Here is a 16,460-nt window from a genome sequence, read left to right as displayed (position 1 = left end):
TCCTGTATCTCTTCCTATTGCCTAATTACAGGTTGTAGCTTCTCTAAGGGTGAATTCCATCTTATTACAGAGTCCCCAAAGCCCACGCTGAGCGTTCTCTTGTATATTTCAACATTCAGAATGATGGCAAAGCAGTCTCATCTTTTTTGTGGATTTAATGTCAAGGAGTGACCACACTTCAGAACCACTTTTTGTGTATTCTGTTCTGTCCCATGATCTGATTTGAAGTATAACTGGCTTTTGTCATAGATGAAGTCATTTTCAGGAACTGAAGGCACATCACTCTACGGAATCATGAATGCAGTGAGTAAAACAGCATCATCTCTACATACCACAATACTCAACACCAAAAATGCTTATGGTTCAATATTAAATTTTTAAGGTATACAGCATTCTAAAGTGAACATCTGTGTGATATAATATATAATTGGGATTAATAAAATCTACATATAAAAAAAGATATAAATGCTAACAAATATAGACTTTTCTTAAAAAAAGAAAGAAATATAGCCAAATGTCATAAGGATACCTTGTTAGCATTCAAGGTGATATTAATGTCTTCTAACAAAATTATTATGTTTTTAAATTGTTCTATGATTCATATTCATAATCTGTTTTACAAGATTAAATCTTCCATGGATGATATAAACAAACTTTTGCTCTAGAAAAAGTTATTCATGAGGAGGATGGAGACTAAGCATATTGGCATGGTTTGCCTACCATGTTTCTCTAAATTGTGTTAATGCCTAGGCTTCTTATGTTAAAAAAACAATTAGAAGGAGACAATGACATATCATATTCAGCAGATATTTATTTAGTCCTTAGTACTAGGCAGGGTTATTAGGCTCTGAGAGCTAAGAGATGAAAAAGAAGTGTAGCTCTTATTCCTCTATCGCACTTCACTGGTAAAGAAAAACCCCTTCTCAACTATCTGTAATACAACGAAAGACGAGAGACTTGCTGAATAGGGAAAATGTTAAAAAACAAACAAACAAAAAGCCCTAAGAGCACAGCAGGACAGCAAGTAATTCGGCCTGAAGTAAATGGGGAATGGCTCACCGGCTTAAAAGATCAGAAGGAAACCAACCAGCCAGGGAGAAAGAGTATTTTAAGAAATTAGGAATAGCACGTACAACAGCATGGGGAACCTGAGCATATCCAGCAATTCCATTCATTCTTATGTTCAACAAATGCCGCCATCATGCATGAATCACTGGGCCTGATGCAAAAATGAACATAGAAAATGGTCCCTGCCCTGATGGCCTGGCACAGCCTAGCAGGAGACTCAGGAAGGAAAAGCAGCTATAACACAGTGAAACAAGCCCTAGTGAGGTAGGGGGAATACAAAATACTATGTGTGCATATAAAAGGGGTGCTAATCAAGACAACCAAGTTGAGAAAGAGGATGTTACTGAGCCCTCAGAGATGAGGGAGTGGGATGAGACACATATTATAAGCAGAAGAAACAGGCAACAGAGTAAGGTATGGCTTAGTCTAAGAGTTTTTAGATCTTCGAAAAGCAAAATACAAAAATAAAAAAATCGATAAACTGGACTTTATTCAAAATTAAAAACTTTTGCTCTACAAAAGATGTCAAGAGAAGAAAAAGATAAGCCACATGCTGACAGAAAATATTTACAAATCCCATTTCTGAAAAAGGAATTGTATCCAAAATGCATAAAGAACTATCAAAAATAAAAAACAATCACCCCATTTTTTTAAATGAGCAAAAGATCTAAACAGACACTTCACTAAATAAGATATATGTATAGCAAATAAGCACATGAAAGGATGCTCACAATTAGTAGCATTAGAAAAATGCATTAGGGAAAAACCAAAAAGAGATGCACGGTTTAAAAAAGAGAAAAAATAAATTTAAAAAAACCTGACAATACCAATTGCTAATAAGGACCCAGAGCAACTGGAACTCTCAAATGGAGCCAATGAGGATGCAAAATGATACACTCAATGGGGAAAACAGTTTGACAGCATCTTATTAGGTTTAACAGATACTTGACATCTGATCCAGCAATCCCATTTCTAGGAAATTCCCCAAGAAAAATCAAAATTTATGTTCACATAAAAATGTAGATAATTATTTATTTTTAAGAGCTATGTTCATAATTACCAGAAACTAAAAACAACACAGATGTCCTTCAAACTACAGGACTGTCAAGGCTAGATTAGAAGAGGTAATATTAATACAGTTTCTACCCAGCTCTCTCTCATGGAAAGCTCACCCATGGAACCCAGTGCTGCCTTGCAGCAGCCAGCCAGCATCAAGCACCAAACACGTGAATGAGGAACTCTTCATTGTGACTCCTGACTGTTCTTGCTGTGGCCATTAAGTTTGAGGGGCTTTGTTACATAGCAATAGATAACCAGAACACTTAGCACTTAGAAATGAGGCTTGAAAGCTACACTTAGGAGGCATGACTTCATGCACGCAAGGTAGTCGTAGAAAACTTTCGAACAGAAATGTTTCAGAAAGTTAATTTCTGCAATATCAGTGGGAGGTATCAGAGGCAAGGTAACAGTCTCTACAATGTAGACATGATGTATCAGAGATATGGAAGGAGTCTAAGGCAGAAGGTGGGTTCAGAGGCTAGAACAAGGGCCAATGCAAAATAGTAGTTTTTTCCAAATTGATTTAGAGATGTAATGCAATGCCAATCAAAATAGGCATACTTTTGTGATAAAACTATAAAGGAACACAAAGATTACTGGGATCATTATTATAACCAGGTGGGGCAAGCGGAGAAGGAGGGAACGGTGATTGAAAATTGATACATGTAAGTCTTTTAAGGAGAGGCAGTAGCCTATTTCTTGTGTTAAATGGTGGACATAAGTGGTTAAATTTACAATGATTTCCATCCTAGTACACATCTGCATACTTTTCTCTAAGGAGACAAGTACAAGGATGGCCTTAGCAGCATTACAGATAACAGACAATACACTAACCAAAATGTCTGACCAACATTCACTAGAATGGATAAATTATGGAATGTTCATACATTAGAATATGAAATAGAAACAGAAGTTAATAAATTATAGCTACACATACCAACATGTAAAACCTCAATTTCTTAGATCCTTAATACCTCTCAGCCTGGCTGCAATATGCTGAGAATGAGGAGCTTACAGTGTAAGACCAAGTGCCTAGGAAGTACTTCAGCAAACGCTTTATGTAAGAAGCAAGGTCTAGTGTAGAGTGACATTCAGGACCCCTAGAATTCATTACTTTCTGGGCATCAAGCCACCATGACAGCCAGAACAAACATGAAGACCAAGGATCAGGGAGACTCAGGCCTGCATGGGACAAACAAGTTTGCATATAATAAAAAAATTATGGAACCAGTAATAATCAAGACTCTGATGAGGTCTCATTTTAACAGAAAATACAAAATACACAAGACAGTATGTAACTAATCTCATTTCTGAGAGTTCATTTTCCTGGATGGCTTTCTTAGGACACAGTAATAAGTGAGCACATAAGCAGATCATGAATAAATATTTAATTTGACATTTGCATGGGCCTCCCTACTGCTGTGCTGATACCAACTCACTGCAAAGGACTACCTGATTTTCCCTGGTGGAGTTTATGGCAGGACAGATCCTTCCTCGTGTTTTCACTAAGTGCTCATGCAATTAATTGACATAAGGGGAAAGGTTTCCAAACATCAGCCATTGTCATATTAACTGATTTCTCTTAGTTGGAAGTGGTAACAGCTTTTTACCATCACCAGTCCATGACATTTATTGTACATCCCCCACTGTGTTTTGCTTTGACATCCTAAGAAACTCCTAATTATGATGTAACCTTTGATCTGAAAAGTAAAGTCAGCCTTAAAAGGAGTTGTAACAGTTGAGGGAACCCTCTCATGAGTCCTGGCAACATGGCAACATTGCATTCTCCTGTACATTTCCAAACATTACTTCTACCATTTCCTTAAAATGGTAGCAAAAACATCTTAAGACTACAAACCTTGAGGAGAAGGATCCAGTATTAACATCTTTTAGAGCCACGTGGCACAATCATTTCTTACACAACACTGAAGAGATATGAGACAGTTAATATTCACTAACCTTTTTCCTGATGTAAATTTACTACACATAGAGTTTTTTTGGTTTTGTTATTAGTCTAATCACTGGTTGGGGAGTATAAAAAATGTTGGGATCCAGGTCAGGTATGGTGACTCACACCTGTAATCCCAGCACCTTGGGAAGCTGAGGCAGGTGGATAGCTTTTGCCCAGGAGTTCATGACCAGCTGGGCAACATGGTGAAATCCCATCTTTACAAATAAATCATAAATAAAATGTAAAACATTAAAAATATAAAAATCAGCCAGGCATGGTGGTACATGCCTGTAGTCCCAGCTACTGAGAATGAAGTGGGAGGATCAACTAAGCCCAGGAGGTCAAGGCTGGGTAATACAGCAAGACCCTGTCTTAAAAAAAAAAAAAAGAAAGAAAGAAAGAAAGAAAGAAAGAAAGAAAGAAAGAAAGAAAGAAAGAAAGAAAAAGTTGGGATCCTTATTTCTATGTCAGTTGACACTTCAGAATAATCGAAACCTTCCCTTAAAACTCTAAAGAATCAAGTTTTTCTCTTATATCTTTCCAGAAGAAAAAGCCATCATAAAACTGATAAAATAAGAGCATCACAGAAAAAAATCCATGAACTAGTCTCAGGAAATCCAAAATTTTCTGTAACATAAGGATTTTCTAACTTTATTTTTCTTTTCAATTAAGAAAACTTGTCATGTTAGATAATTGTTCATTTAAAAAAAAGGAAGACCTTTAAGCATATGAAAATAGCAAGCATTTATAACATTTTTATGTACTAACACAAAGCGCTTTAAATATATTTATCCATACAGTCTTCATAATTACCCCAGAAGAGAGGTATAATTATTAACCCCATTTTCAGATGAACATTCCAAAGGCACAGGGAAGTTTGAAATATGCAAGGTTACAAGGCTAGCTGAGGCAGAGCCAGGGTTCAAACCCAGCCAGTGTGACTCATGATCCCGTGTCTTAACCACTGTGCTGTCATCTCACCAATGACTAACTTGCCTTCCATACCATCAAAAGAATCTTCATACTCTACAGAGGTATACTCTACAGAGGATATACCAGGATGGTATATCCACAGGTTTTCAGATCAAAGGACTGAAAATCCCTTCCATCACAATTAACCAATCATTTGGCTTCTGATTTTAAAGCTTTTTTTTTTTTTTTTTTTTTTTGAGACAGAGTCTCGCTCTGTCACCCAGGCTGGAGTGCAGTGGTGGATCTCAGCTCACTGCAACCTCGCCACCCGATTCAAGCAATTCTCCTGCCTCAGGCTCCCAAGGAGCTGGGGCTACAGGCGACGTGCCACCACGCCCAGCTAATTTTTTGTATTTTTAGTGGAGCATTAAGATGTATTCTGAAGTCACAATTGTACAGCCCTCTTTTTTTCTGAACATCAAAAATAAACTGCTAATATGTGGGGGCTATTTTATAATACAAAGTTAAAATGCAAAAACAAAGAAGTTGACAAGGGATTGAGAGTCTAGATCTCTTGCCAAATTCTTCGCTACTCTACATTCTAGATAACCTATTAAACCTAGATTACCTAGTTCTGATACCATCTTTCTGATCTGTATGACTATAAGAATTTAATTTTCCTAGTTATTATTATCAGTACTAATTTCCCTCCTTACTCCCTTTCCCCTGCCTGCCATCTCTCTGAAATTTTAAGAACACTGTGACTTTTAAATAGACAGTGTTAAGTATACCAGGAAAGTGTTAAAGAACAAAAATAATTCATGGATGTGAAGGACATCTAGCAAGCCCTACAACCTGCAATGTGAGAAAAGCACAAATAGAGAGAGCAGTAATTCAATGAACAACATCATGATTATTCTTAGTATATCCACCTACCACAGGAGTGAAGATTTCCCTCTCACAAATCTTATAAACATTTAAAGGCTCAAAGGAGGTGTTTTAATGCAAGAATGCACAGCCCTGCCACTCTTCATGCTCCATGCATGCACACAATGGATTATGCACTCTCGTGGAACGGCTGGTAAAACTCAGAGCCTAGCATTATCATTTCCTGACATATTCATTCGATAGCCTTTCTGGGAATAATTGAGACTTTTCTCCATTCCATCTACTTTGAATATGGGAGTTGGAGTGCTTTAAAAAGTTAAGAATGTCACAAATTAGCTATTCCCTCCTGCTATCCTAACTTATATAGAGACATGTCTTGTATATTATTAAATTATTAGCGGAACCACTCACCAACTCTGGGAAGGATGTAAATACCTAAAACAGTTCCCAGATGAGGACATTCCTAGAGGCCTAAATGAGTGGTCTCTATATTTTTTGATCATTCATCCCCAACAGCAAAGAATTTTGCATATCCTCCCCTCTAAAAAATGTGTTAATCTATAAATCATATACATGTACTACAGCACTAACATATTAAGCTCAGCACAAAACATACACACATGCATAAATAAAATGAATGAGAAAAAAATAGACAAAAATCAAGTTCTACTATTAACGTCACATCCCCAACATATCATCATCTTGTTCACCCCACAGAGTTCATGTCACCCAGGTTGAGGACCATTCTTCTACAGAACTATTTCGAGAAATTCAGGAATGAAAACAGAAGCCAATGCTGTTCACATCTGATTCCACTCTCCAAACAGCAATGCTTTTATAAATGAGACCAGGAATTAAAAAAAAAAAAAAAATGGAGCTTTGATTAGGAAAAAATGACAGCAGTGTCCTTAGGACAACCTTGGCAAACATAATCCACACTCAGAACTCTTTCCTGATAGTATCACACTCAAGAATGTCACCCTGATCAGTAAGAAATATGACAACACAAAAAAGCATGAATCTGTTGCCTGGACTCTTGTGAGCCAAGTTGAAGCTCAATGATGCATGTCATTGAGTCTTCAAAGAATTGATGGGATTAGCTCCTCTTAAAAATCTGTCAGGAACACGAGAAATCGATGTAGTTAAAGCTATATATTTTCTTCTTCTTGGCACCAGTAAGTACCTCTACCTTCATAATTCCCTACCACTCCAAATTACAGTGTAATTAAATTTTTTAACATGTCAGCTCACAGACCTTCGAGAAATCCCATGAGAAATTTACAACAAATTTTCAATCTATGCCTTTTTTTGGCCTACTGATAACCTAAAACAGAACAAATTGAAAGAATATACTTAAATAAAATGCCAACTGGACATTTTACAAATAACAACTGGAGTGGGCATTTTTCCAAGTACTTCCTAATTACTGTTCTCCAGAGACTAACTGGCTAGATCTAGCATGATCACTGTCATCCTTATTCCTGAATGCTTATTCAGCAACAACAGAGGGACTGGTCCTAGATTCAGTTCTGATAGAACCATAGTAAATAAATAAGAAAACATTATCACAACATTCAAATTGCTTACAAATTACCATGAAGCACCTATATAGATCTTACGGGTTTTAGTGCAGTAGCAAGATATATAGAAATAGGAAGCCAAGTCCACAATGAAAAGAGAACAGCAGGCTGGATAACTGATAAAGCAGCCCCAGGACAGGACGATGCACATGCCTCTCCATCCTTCAGTTCCTGTGGCTACAGATCACATGATATAAGGGGCACAGTGTCCTAACACGGGGCCTATGTCTGAAGAAGAGCAGATCCTAGGCAAATCAGAGGGGTGAGGACAGTAGTAGGGGCTCTTGGTGACAGAACAATGACCAAGGCACTGCCCTGTCACCATACCTGGACCTTCTAAAACCATGTCTCACGTGTGGTGATGGGTTCCCACACAGACAGAATGTTGCTTCCTCCATCTCTGTGCTTCAGATGAGCAAGCTGCCAAGGCCATGTTTCATCCTCTCAGACCTGTGACATTAACATCAGTGCCTCTCCCATGACTAAAATCCCCGGCTTTGAATCTGAAATGGTCCTGGGAAAATGGCAGTTACAAACTTCTAGGCAGAAAAAAATAATGACCTGGATGAGTAAACTAAAAGAAACAAATGGAACCGTGTAAGAATCCAGATAGAATTTAGCCATGGCTTCAAACAAAATTGGGTTAAGAATGTCATTAAAGCTATAACTGCCAACTGGAGCAGGGTGGTAGACAATATTTAAGTAATCTGGCAGGCTTTCTAGAAATAATCCTAGCTCGCAGGATTCTAATTTGCTCCACCAGAGCAGATCACTCACCATCCCTTAAAAATCCTTTATTCTGGGACTATGGTTTGACTGTAGAGTATCACATCACAGAGCATAAGCAAGACAGACACAGCCTGGCCCTCACTGAATTTCCATTCCAGAAGCACTGATGGTTTTAAGGACTGTTACAAATGGATGTTTCTAAGTATGAAGACTAAATATAACGGCGAGAAAAAGTGGAATGAAAAAATAAAGCTTTGGATGATGGCCAGTCAGGAGAGCTTTCTTATTGACTCTGAAACAAGTACAGCTTTCTCTAGCTGTAATATGAAGTTCACAGATCTCGACATACAAATGCATGCAGAATCTAATTTTAATAAATATAAATGGCAAACAAGGTTGCTTGCTTGTATCTGAATTATGTTCAAATAGGGGACATATGTTCAAATATGTTCAAATAGGGAACATAGGAACCAACCATCACAGTGGGAAAATTCATGTATACATATGAGAATGACTCCCCATATTTGCTAACAAACTCCAGCTCAACACATAGCCCATTTGATGTCTTTTCTGACACCTCCAAATTTTCTAATTCCTCCTCTCCATAACTCACACCTCAATGAGGAAAATACCAGTAGAGGTAAGAGAATAACCCACACACATCACATCAACTTATGCCACAATGAATCCTACAACTGTACCATTTAAGTGCAGACTGATACTTTCATGAATTAGCATGTTGAAGCTTCTACTACATCGAAATAATCAGCCAATAAAATTTGTTGTAATTCAATTAGCAAAATACTATCAAAGCCCATCTAAAAGGACTGAGAACAGTCTCTTCATATATATAACCTGGCTCTAATTTTAATAGTAAGACTAGTAAAAAAAACAGTAAAAAATTGTTTTGAATACCATCTATTTTTTAATATTTAGTTATTGCATTCCAAAGACTACCATAGTAATATTTATACACATATCATAAAACAAGGAGAAATATTAAAATAAGTCAATAATATAAAGTTCCACTACTTTTTTGTAGCCCATCTTGGATTTTTCTCTAGGTACATACATTCCACATTAGAGGTGGCTGATCTAGAGCAGGTATCAGCAGACTACAGCCCGTGACACCTATCTGTGCAAATACAGTTTTATCAGAACATAGCAATACTCATTCATACATTGTCTAGGTCTGCTTTCAAGCTACCACAGTGGAATTGTATAATTGCAACAGCAACTGTCTGACTCATAAAGTCTAAAATATTTACTATCTGGTCCTTGACAAAAAAAAAGTTTTCCAAATCCTCCACTAGAGTCTCAATAATGACAAATGTCCTTCCAGCCCCTTAATTAAGCAAGAAAAGTAGATGATTTGGGTCTACCCCACTAATTCAGTCTTTACTGATGAACTGAAAATTCTCCAACTAAGGAATTAGTAAATAATTTTTCTAAAAGGTTTGACAAATTTCTCTTGCTACATATTTCAGGTAACTGTATTTAGTGGCTTATTTAAATATAGTTTCCCTTTGCTGACAGGTTAATTAAACGTGGTGGGTTAGTTGGTGGATGAGACCAAATTAAACATGGTGGATTAGCTGAAAAGTTTAGCACTGACCCTATACATACCTATCAATGCTATAAAAATCATTATGGCATAATAAAGTAAGTCCAAAAAAAACGCCTCAAGCTGCCCTACAGTGTCTTCACTCCCGTAGGCCAGATGTTCTCCAAGGATTTACCCTTGGGGACCCTGAGATTCATTCAGGAGGTTCACAGGTTCAAAATCGTTTTCATAACAACTCTAAAACAAACTTATCCTTTCACTGTGTTGCCCTTTGCATGGAAGGTGCAAAAGCAATGGTGGGGAAAACTGCTAGCACCTGAGCACAAGCCAAGGCGGGAGTCTTCACTGGCACAAGCTCCTAGTTTTTTAAACAAACATCAATTTCATTTTAGAATGTCCTCAGTGAAGCAGTAAACATTACTCATTTTATTAAATTTTAGCTCTTGAGTACAAACATTTTAATATCCTGTGTAACAGAATGAGAAGTAAGTTCAAAATGGGAAGTATGTTCCTCTATATATCAAAGGGATCACTGTCTCAATGTAAAGTGTTTGTGTGATAGTTGCATTTTTAAGCAGAACCAGCTCCTTTTTTTCAGTGGACTATCACAAAAAAATGACAACGTATAGTTATTTAGATTTGGGATTTGGTAGACATTCCCTCTAAAATCTAAGAAGTAATCTGGTCACTTCAAGATATCACTTCACCTGATAATATGTTTGTTTTTTTTTTTCCAATAGTAAAATTGTATCTTTCAAGCAAAAATTTAAATTTTGGAAAACTTTTGTCTGCTACTATGAGCTCAACACCTCTGAAGTACTTCAAAAAACTTTTATAATATCAGTGATGATAGTTATGAAATGTCTTTCTTTTTTCTTTTGCTATTATACAAGAGGAAGATACTTGAAAGCTATGTATAACTCAATGAACCAATATTTTCTAAGTTACCAATGTACAATGCTACAAAATTATGTATGGATAAGACCCAGTCAAAGGAGAAGATAGACCAAACAGACTTTAATGTAACAAAATACAAAAAAGTTCATTGATATGGTTCTGATTCTACATTGCAACTTATCTTTAAGAAACCACCACTTGTTGAGTTTTGGTGAAGTACCAAGGAAGAATAGCCACAATTATGTGAAAAGGCTATTGAAAATACTTCCTAACTACACATCTTTAAGGCTGGATTTTCTTTTCATACTTCAGTCAAAACAACATATCACAATTTTGTGAATGCAGAAGTAGATATGAGCATCCACTTGTCTTCTATTAAGTCAAACATTAAAAAGATCTGCAAAAAGATAAGCCAATGCCACTCTTCTTGCTGATTTATTTTTGTTTTGGAAAATATATTTACTTTTTCATAAAAACAGTACCTATGTTAGTACGTAATGGTTTGCTTTATTAGTGTCACTTTTTAATTAATAAATATTTCAAATTTTAGTTTTAATTTATAATATTGTAAATACCAATGTTTTGACCCACAAAAACCAAAGATCGATCATTTTTAAGATTGTAAAGGGACCAAAAACGCTGAGACCAAACACTGGAGGACTGTAAACTTCTATCTTATTCCACGTGCAATTTTCTTGTTTTATTGGAAAATACTTACAAAGTAAAATATTTTCCCTTTTTCTTTCTCAGTTCACTTTTTTATGAGCTACACAGGAAACATCTTGTCTAAATTTGAAAGTATAAAGTTGCCTCACTTATAGGAAGAAGGAGAACTGCTCTAAGCAGGAAAAAAAAAAAATTGCCTGAGAACTGGAGGCTTTAGGCCCATCAGCCACAACTACAGACACAGCTGAGCCTGCTTCACCATCTTCCGTAGTCCCAGGCTGTGCAAAGAGGAGGTATATCCAGCTAGTATACTTTTTCCCTGGCCGATTCAGTTGGCTAGAGCTCTTCAGGGACCACACTGCAATTCTGGATTTCCTGCCAGGTAGGTGGAAAAATAATTCAAAACAGTATTCTGGGGGGGGGAGGGGGGGGCAAGATGCTAGTGATGAGATGACATATGGGCAACAACAATCCTCTGTGACACTTCAGTTGTCCAAATGGCACAAATGATATAGCTGGAATCCCAGATTTCTCTCCCAATTCCAATCAGAGAGAAAAGATTTATTGGGTTGGAGTTTATTAAGTAGGGCTGACCCCTGCCTACCTGCTACTAATTTATTAAGTAGGGCTGGAGTTTATTAAGTAGGGCTGACCCCTGCTACCCCTGCTACTAATAAGTAGCAGCACATCCAGAATTGAAGAGATTGGGATAGGCCAAGATAAATTACCAGACACTCTGGAATAGGGCCGGGCTCGACTGTTAGAGAGCAAAATAAATTTGCCAGGTCTGCTGTGCTAAGAGACATGGGGAAAAATGAAGCTTTTCTCTGAGGTCTGAATCTCACAAGCCATAGCCCTAAATATATTCAAGTCAAGATCTTAAACCTAAAAGTTTCTCAAATAACTTGTAACAGGTTTCATGACTTTATTATCACTATCACATGGCAGATACTGGCAAACTGATTTTCACCAACATACACATATACACCCTACCAATGCCCAATTCATAAACTCTGAACTAAAAGTCATATCTCAGAATTTCAGTATTAAAGTTCATCCTTGAAAAAATGTTCTAAATGGCAATTAGGTAAAATAATACTACATTTTATAGACAGGGTAGAATAGACAGACTTTTGTAGGCTGACATAAGAACCTAAGAATTATACTGTTTTTATGGTAAAATTCAGCACATTTTCTAACTACGAACTCTGGATTTTGGATACACACATGCACTGTGGACCTCCACAAGTCATCCACAGTGATAAACATATTTGAAACTATAACTTGAAAGGCAAAAATCTAGAGATTCTTAGATTGTACTGATTCCTCTTATAAAACAATTCTTTGGAGATAATGTACAGCCCTAAGTGCCAACAGAGAACTGCAGGAAAGAGAAGAGAGGGGAGAGGGGAGAGGGGAGAGGGGAGAGGGGAGGGGGAGAGGAGAAGAGAAGAGAGGAGAGGAGAGGAGAGGAGAGGAGAGGAGAGGAGAGGAGAGGAGAGGAGAAGGAAAAGAAAAAAGAAAAGAAAAGAAAAAAGAGAAAAGAGAAGGGAAGGGAAGGGAGGGGAGGGAAGGGGAGGGGAGGGAAGGGGAGGGAAGGGGAGGGGAGGGGAGGGAGGAAGGGAGGGAGGAAGGGAGGGAGGGGAGGGAGGAAGGGAGGGAGGAAGGGAGGGAGGAAAGGAGGAAAGAAGGAAGGAAGCAGCTTACCTGTGGTCAAGATGACTAAAATCTTGTAAATTCAATTCCCTGGTGTCTTGGGTAAGATAAATTGTATCCACATCCTATTTGAAATATAATTCAGTCATGTCATCAGTCCATGCAGATGACCAGGAAAGCAAGAGAGACAGTGAGAATTAGACAATGACAATGGCAGGTTTTTATGTAATCTGAGAAGTGAAGATTTTAAGTGAAAAATAAATGAAGGGAAAAAAAGAAAAACAAGCCAGCCAAACATTAGAATATTCTCCAGGAGTGTGTGTGCTCATGCACATGTACACAGACATTCTTACCCATTGTACTTCTTCCCTGTATGAAAATCCAAGCCAGTCACAAACACAGGCATACATCTGAGAAAATCCACCTGAAACATACAACAAAAACACTGACAGGTCTTTGGCAAAATGATGTTTAAATTAAAATTTTAAAGCTTAAATATGGCCGATGTTGACAATGCTGATTATCCTTTTCCTTTTTAGGGGGGAAAACAGCAAAGATTCTCCTCCCTGTTCTATAGTAAGTACATAGCAGGATGCAATACAGCTTAAATATAGGACTTTTGTCCACCAATCTAAAGTCTGTGCGCTGCTAATTACACCTTGAAACTAATTGCACCTTTACAGTAGCACACTAGGAATAGACTTAACTTCCTGGCAGGGGGATATCCATCCAGCTATTCACATTTCAGTTTTAAAATGCATGCTCACCACAGGGGCCCTGCTCAGCCACGGTCTGGCTGTCCCACAGCGCCTGGAGACTAGCCAGGCGCTCAGATGGCTCCATGGAGACTTTTTTCATGATTCTCCTGTAAGATCAACAACAACAACACATTTCACAAACCACACTTTTTGACTGCACATAGAAATAAATTTTGTCACATTCCTTTTTCTTCAACAAAGATGAGGGTCACTTCAATTTCAGTTTTTCTTCAATTTTTCAATTTTCAATTTTTTTGAGCACTAGAGAGCTAGAAATCTAGAAAACATAATAAATCCCTATAACTTTCCTTTGTAGATGAAAGGTATTTAGCAATGCAGTCTCCATGTTATAGTTTTATAATGTTAGATTTTGTTAGAATAGTTTGAAAAGTTGCTCCACTTAATGAATTATTAGATTACGTATATACCAAATATAAATTACTAATTTTCAATTAATTAAAGTAAAAATCTCTTCTGTCCTTCTATAGTGCCTTGCACACATGTCCATCAAGAAACTGATCAAGTCATACTGGAATAGTTGTTCCTTTTGCTACCTCTTCCCCTGGGCCATGATTCTTCTGGGGCAGAGAACATATGCAGCTCCTCCCAACCCCCCATCCTCCTCCTCAGAACCTAACAAAGTTCATGCCCACACATGCAGAGACAAGACAGAGTAGTGGTTAAAAGTACAGCCAACCATCCCAAAGTTTCCTTTTTCAGGAACTGACACATTTCTGAATTTGTCAGTTTCTGAGATGTTATCCCATAGGGTTATTGTGAGAAAAAATGATAATAGTACCTATCAAGTTATTAGAATAACCCCCCCAGGGCTGAGCCTGTAATTCCAGCACTTTGGGAGGCCAAGGCAGGCGATTACTTGAGCCCAGGAATTCAAGGCCAGCCTGGGCAATGTGACGAAACACCATCTATACAAAAATTAGCCAGGTGTGGTAGTATGTGCCTATAGTCCCAGCCACTCAGGAGGCTGAGGATTGCTTGAGCATGGGAGGTAGAGGCTGCAGTTAGATTGCACCACTGCACTCCAACCTAGGTGACAGAGGGAGACTCTCCAAAAAAAAAAAAAAAAAGAAGAATCCCTGGTGTGTGGTAATGTCAATATATGTTAACTGATACTGTCATTAGTTATCACAGAGTAATCATTTAATGAATAGTTTATGAATTCATTAATTCACTCAAAAAATTTTTATGAAAGATCTACAGAGTGCCAAGACCCAAAACCAGGTACCAGGCATACAACCATGATTAAACACAGATGCTGCCCCTGCCCTCGCAAAGCTAGCAGTCTACTGTGAGAAACAGACGAATAACCAGGCACTAGTGGAAGAGAACTAACACAAGGAAAGTTCAGGGCGAAAGCGAGGGCAAAGAAGGGGCACTTAGCTTATTCCCTGGTGAGGAGAAGAGGTGGGACGTAGGGAGTTGGAAATGCTCTTTGGTATAAAATATATCTCTGCTAAGACCCACAGGAGGGCAAAAAGAGACAATCAGGTGAAGCATGGTGAGAGGAGGTGTGAGCTAGGGGCCAGGAAAGTGTTTCAGATAAAGGAACAGCACACCCCCAAAGATGAGAAAGCCCATGCTTACCAGAAATTCAATCTAGTTCAAAATAGTTGGCAAATGATGTGTGATAAAGAAAGGAGTAACAGAAGAATCTGGGGAGCAAGGCAAAATCCCAGGCCATGGTGCGCCTCACAGGTCAAATAAAAGGATTTTGATTTTATTCTCAGGGCAATGAGGAGCCATGGCAGACTGTAAACAGATGAGTACGTGATGATTAGATGGGCACTGTGAACAAATATCTGCCTGTGTAGGTATTTGCTCTCAATTTTCTACAAAATTGAGAAATAGAAAACATAGCTTGAAAAATAAAAAAGAACTTTCCAGGACTGTTAAGAGTCCAGCTGAGAGTGAAGATCATGGATTCTTGGTGGTTCAGGGCTAAATAGCTGTGGGATTTCCTCCTGCAGCCCTCAGCAGCCAAAATGTATATGGAGAGGTGGGCAGCTGGCTTGCTGCAGGATGCAGGATTTCCAGGTGGGTGTGTCAGAAAAACAGTGTGGACAGAAGGAGCAGAGGATACTGACAAGGCCTAGGTGAAGTCATGGATGTTGTGGGCTGAGCAGTTAAGAATGGACAGGAAGGCAGGATGGGGGTGGCAGAAGAAGAGAAAGCCAAGCCACCCCCAGTCTGGAGGCCTTGAAAAAGTCCAAATACTGGTACTTCCAGGGGAGAGGAAGTGAAAGGCTGTAGTCAGAGGGGGAGGGCTGTTTTTTCACCATGGAATAAGCTGTTCCAGGAGATGACAAGGTCATGTGGCCACAAAAGCAAGTGGAAGTAGGGTAGAGGTGAAGAGGTCATGAGCTGTGAGGAAGGGTGTCAGGGTGTCAGTCACCCAGTACCATGACAGGACGTGGGTGAGAGGTGGTGAAATAAATATATTAACTTGTATTGAATATAGTTTCATCTTTAATGATTTCAAGGCACTCTGCTACATACAATGCTCTCAGTCATTCTTATGAATTTCCATCACCTTGCAGAGACTGGAAGAAAATGTTCCCAGTTATTTACATTTTCTGATTGAATGGATGTATTCCAGATAAAATATGCTAGGGCCTGGGAGGTTGCCTGGTTGGGTTGTTCTACTCCTAGAGAAAACCTCAAATACATATCAAATCATTTAAATACATTCTGTTGGCATGGAAAATATTCCT

The 16,460-nt window shown here is 38.2% G+C and overlaps 1 protein-coding gene and 1 long non-coding RNA gene across 21 annotated transcripts in view, besides 2 other annotated features; one reads left to right on the top strand and one right to left on the bottom strand.

Annotated features, from left to right (window-relative positions):
• The window catches only part of CARMIL1 (capping protein regulator and myosin 1 linker 1), a 341,157-nt gene that overhangs the window by 156,798 nt on the left and 167,899 nt on the right, over positions 1–16,460 (bottom strand). For all 20 annotated transcript variants that reach the window (XM_017011008.2, XM_017011009.2, XM_017011015.2 and 17 more), the window contains 3 exons: positions 13,738–13,835; positions 13,324–13,394; positions 13,022–13,095 (listed from right to left, as the gene is read on the bottom strand). In XM_017011008.2, coding sequence (XP_016866497.1) covers positions 13,022–13,095; positions 13,324–13,394; positions 13,738–13,835 — 243 coding nt within the window. The remainder of the gene's footprint in view (positions 1–13,021; positions 13,096–13,323; positions 13,395–13,737; positions 13,836–16,460) is intronic.
• Positions 85–285: a silencer, noted in NCBI's record as "peak5738 fragment used in MPRA reporter construct". NCBI's record gives its function as "represses an SCP1 promoter by STARR-seq MPRAs in K562 erythroleukemia cells {active_cell/tissue: K562}" and the evidence as "EXISTENCE:reporter gene assay evidence [ECO:0000049][PMID:32103011]".
• Positions 753–1,289: an enhancer, noted in NCBI's record as "NANOG hESC enhancer chr6:25462672-25463208 (GRCh37/hg19 assembly coordinates)". NCBI's record gives its function as "activates a minimal SCP1, AML or CMV promoter by ChIP-STARR-seq in naive H9 embryonic stem cells {active_cell/tissue: H9 hESC(naive)}" and the evidence as "EXISTENCE:reporter gene assay evidence [ECO:0000049][PMID:30033119]".
• Positions 11,543–16,460, top strand: part of LOC124901281 (uncharacterized) — a 124,485-nt gene continuing 119,567 nt past the window's right edge. Inside the window, exon 1 of the long non-coding RNA XR_007059511.1 lies at positions 11,543–11,696. This is a non-coding gene — a long non-coding RNA (uncharacterized LOC124901281). The remainder of the gene's footprint in view (positions 11,697–16,460) is intronic.

Source organism: Homo sapiens, chromosome 6 (assembly GCF_000001405.40).
Source record: "Homo sapiens chromosome 6, GRCh38.p14 Primary Assembly".
Taxonomy (NCBI): domain Eukaryota; kingdom Metazoa; phylum Chordata; class Mammalia; order Primates; family Hominidae; genus Homo; species Homo sapiens.
The sequence above is the reverse complement of the archived record's forward strand: the minus strand, read 5'-3'. Positions and strand labels throughout refer to the sequence as shown.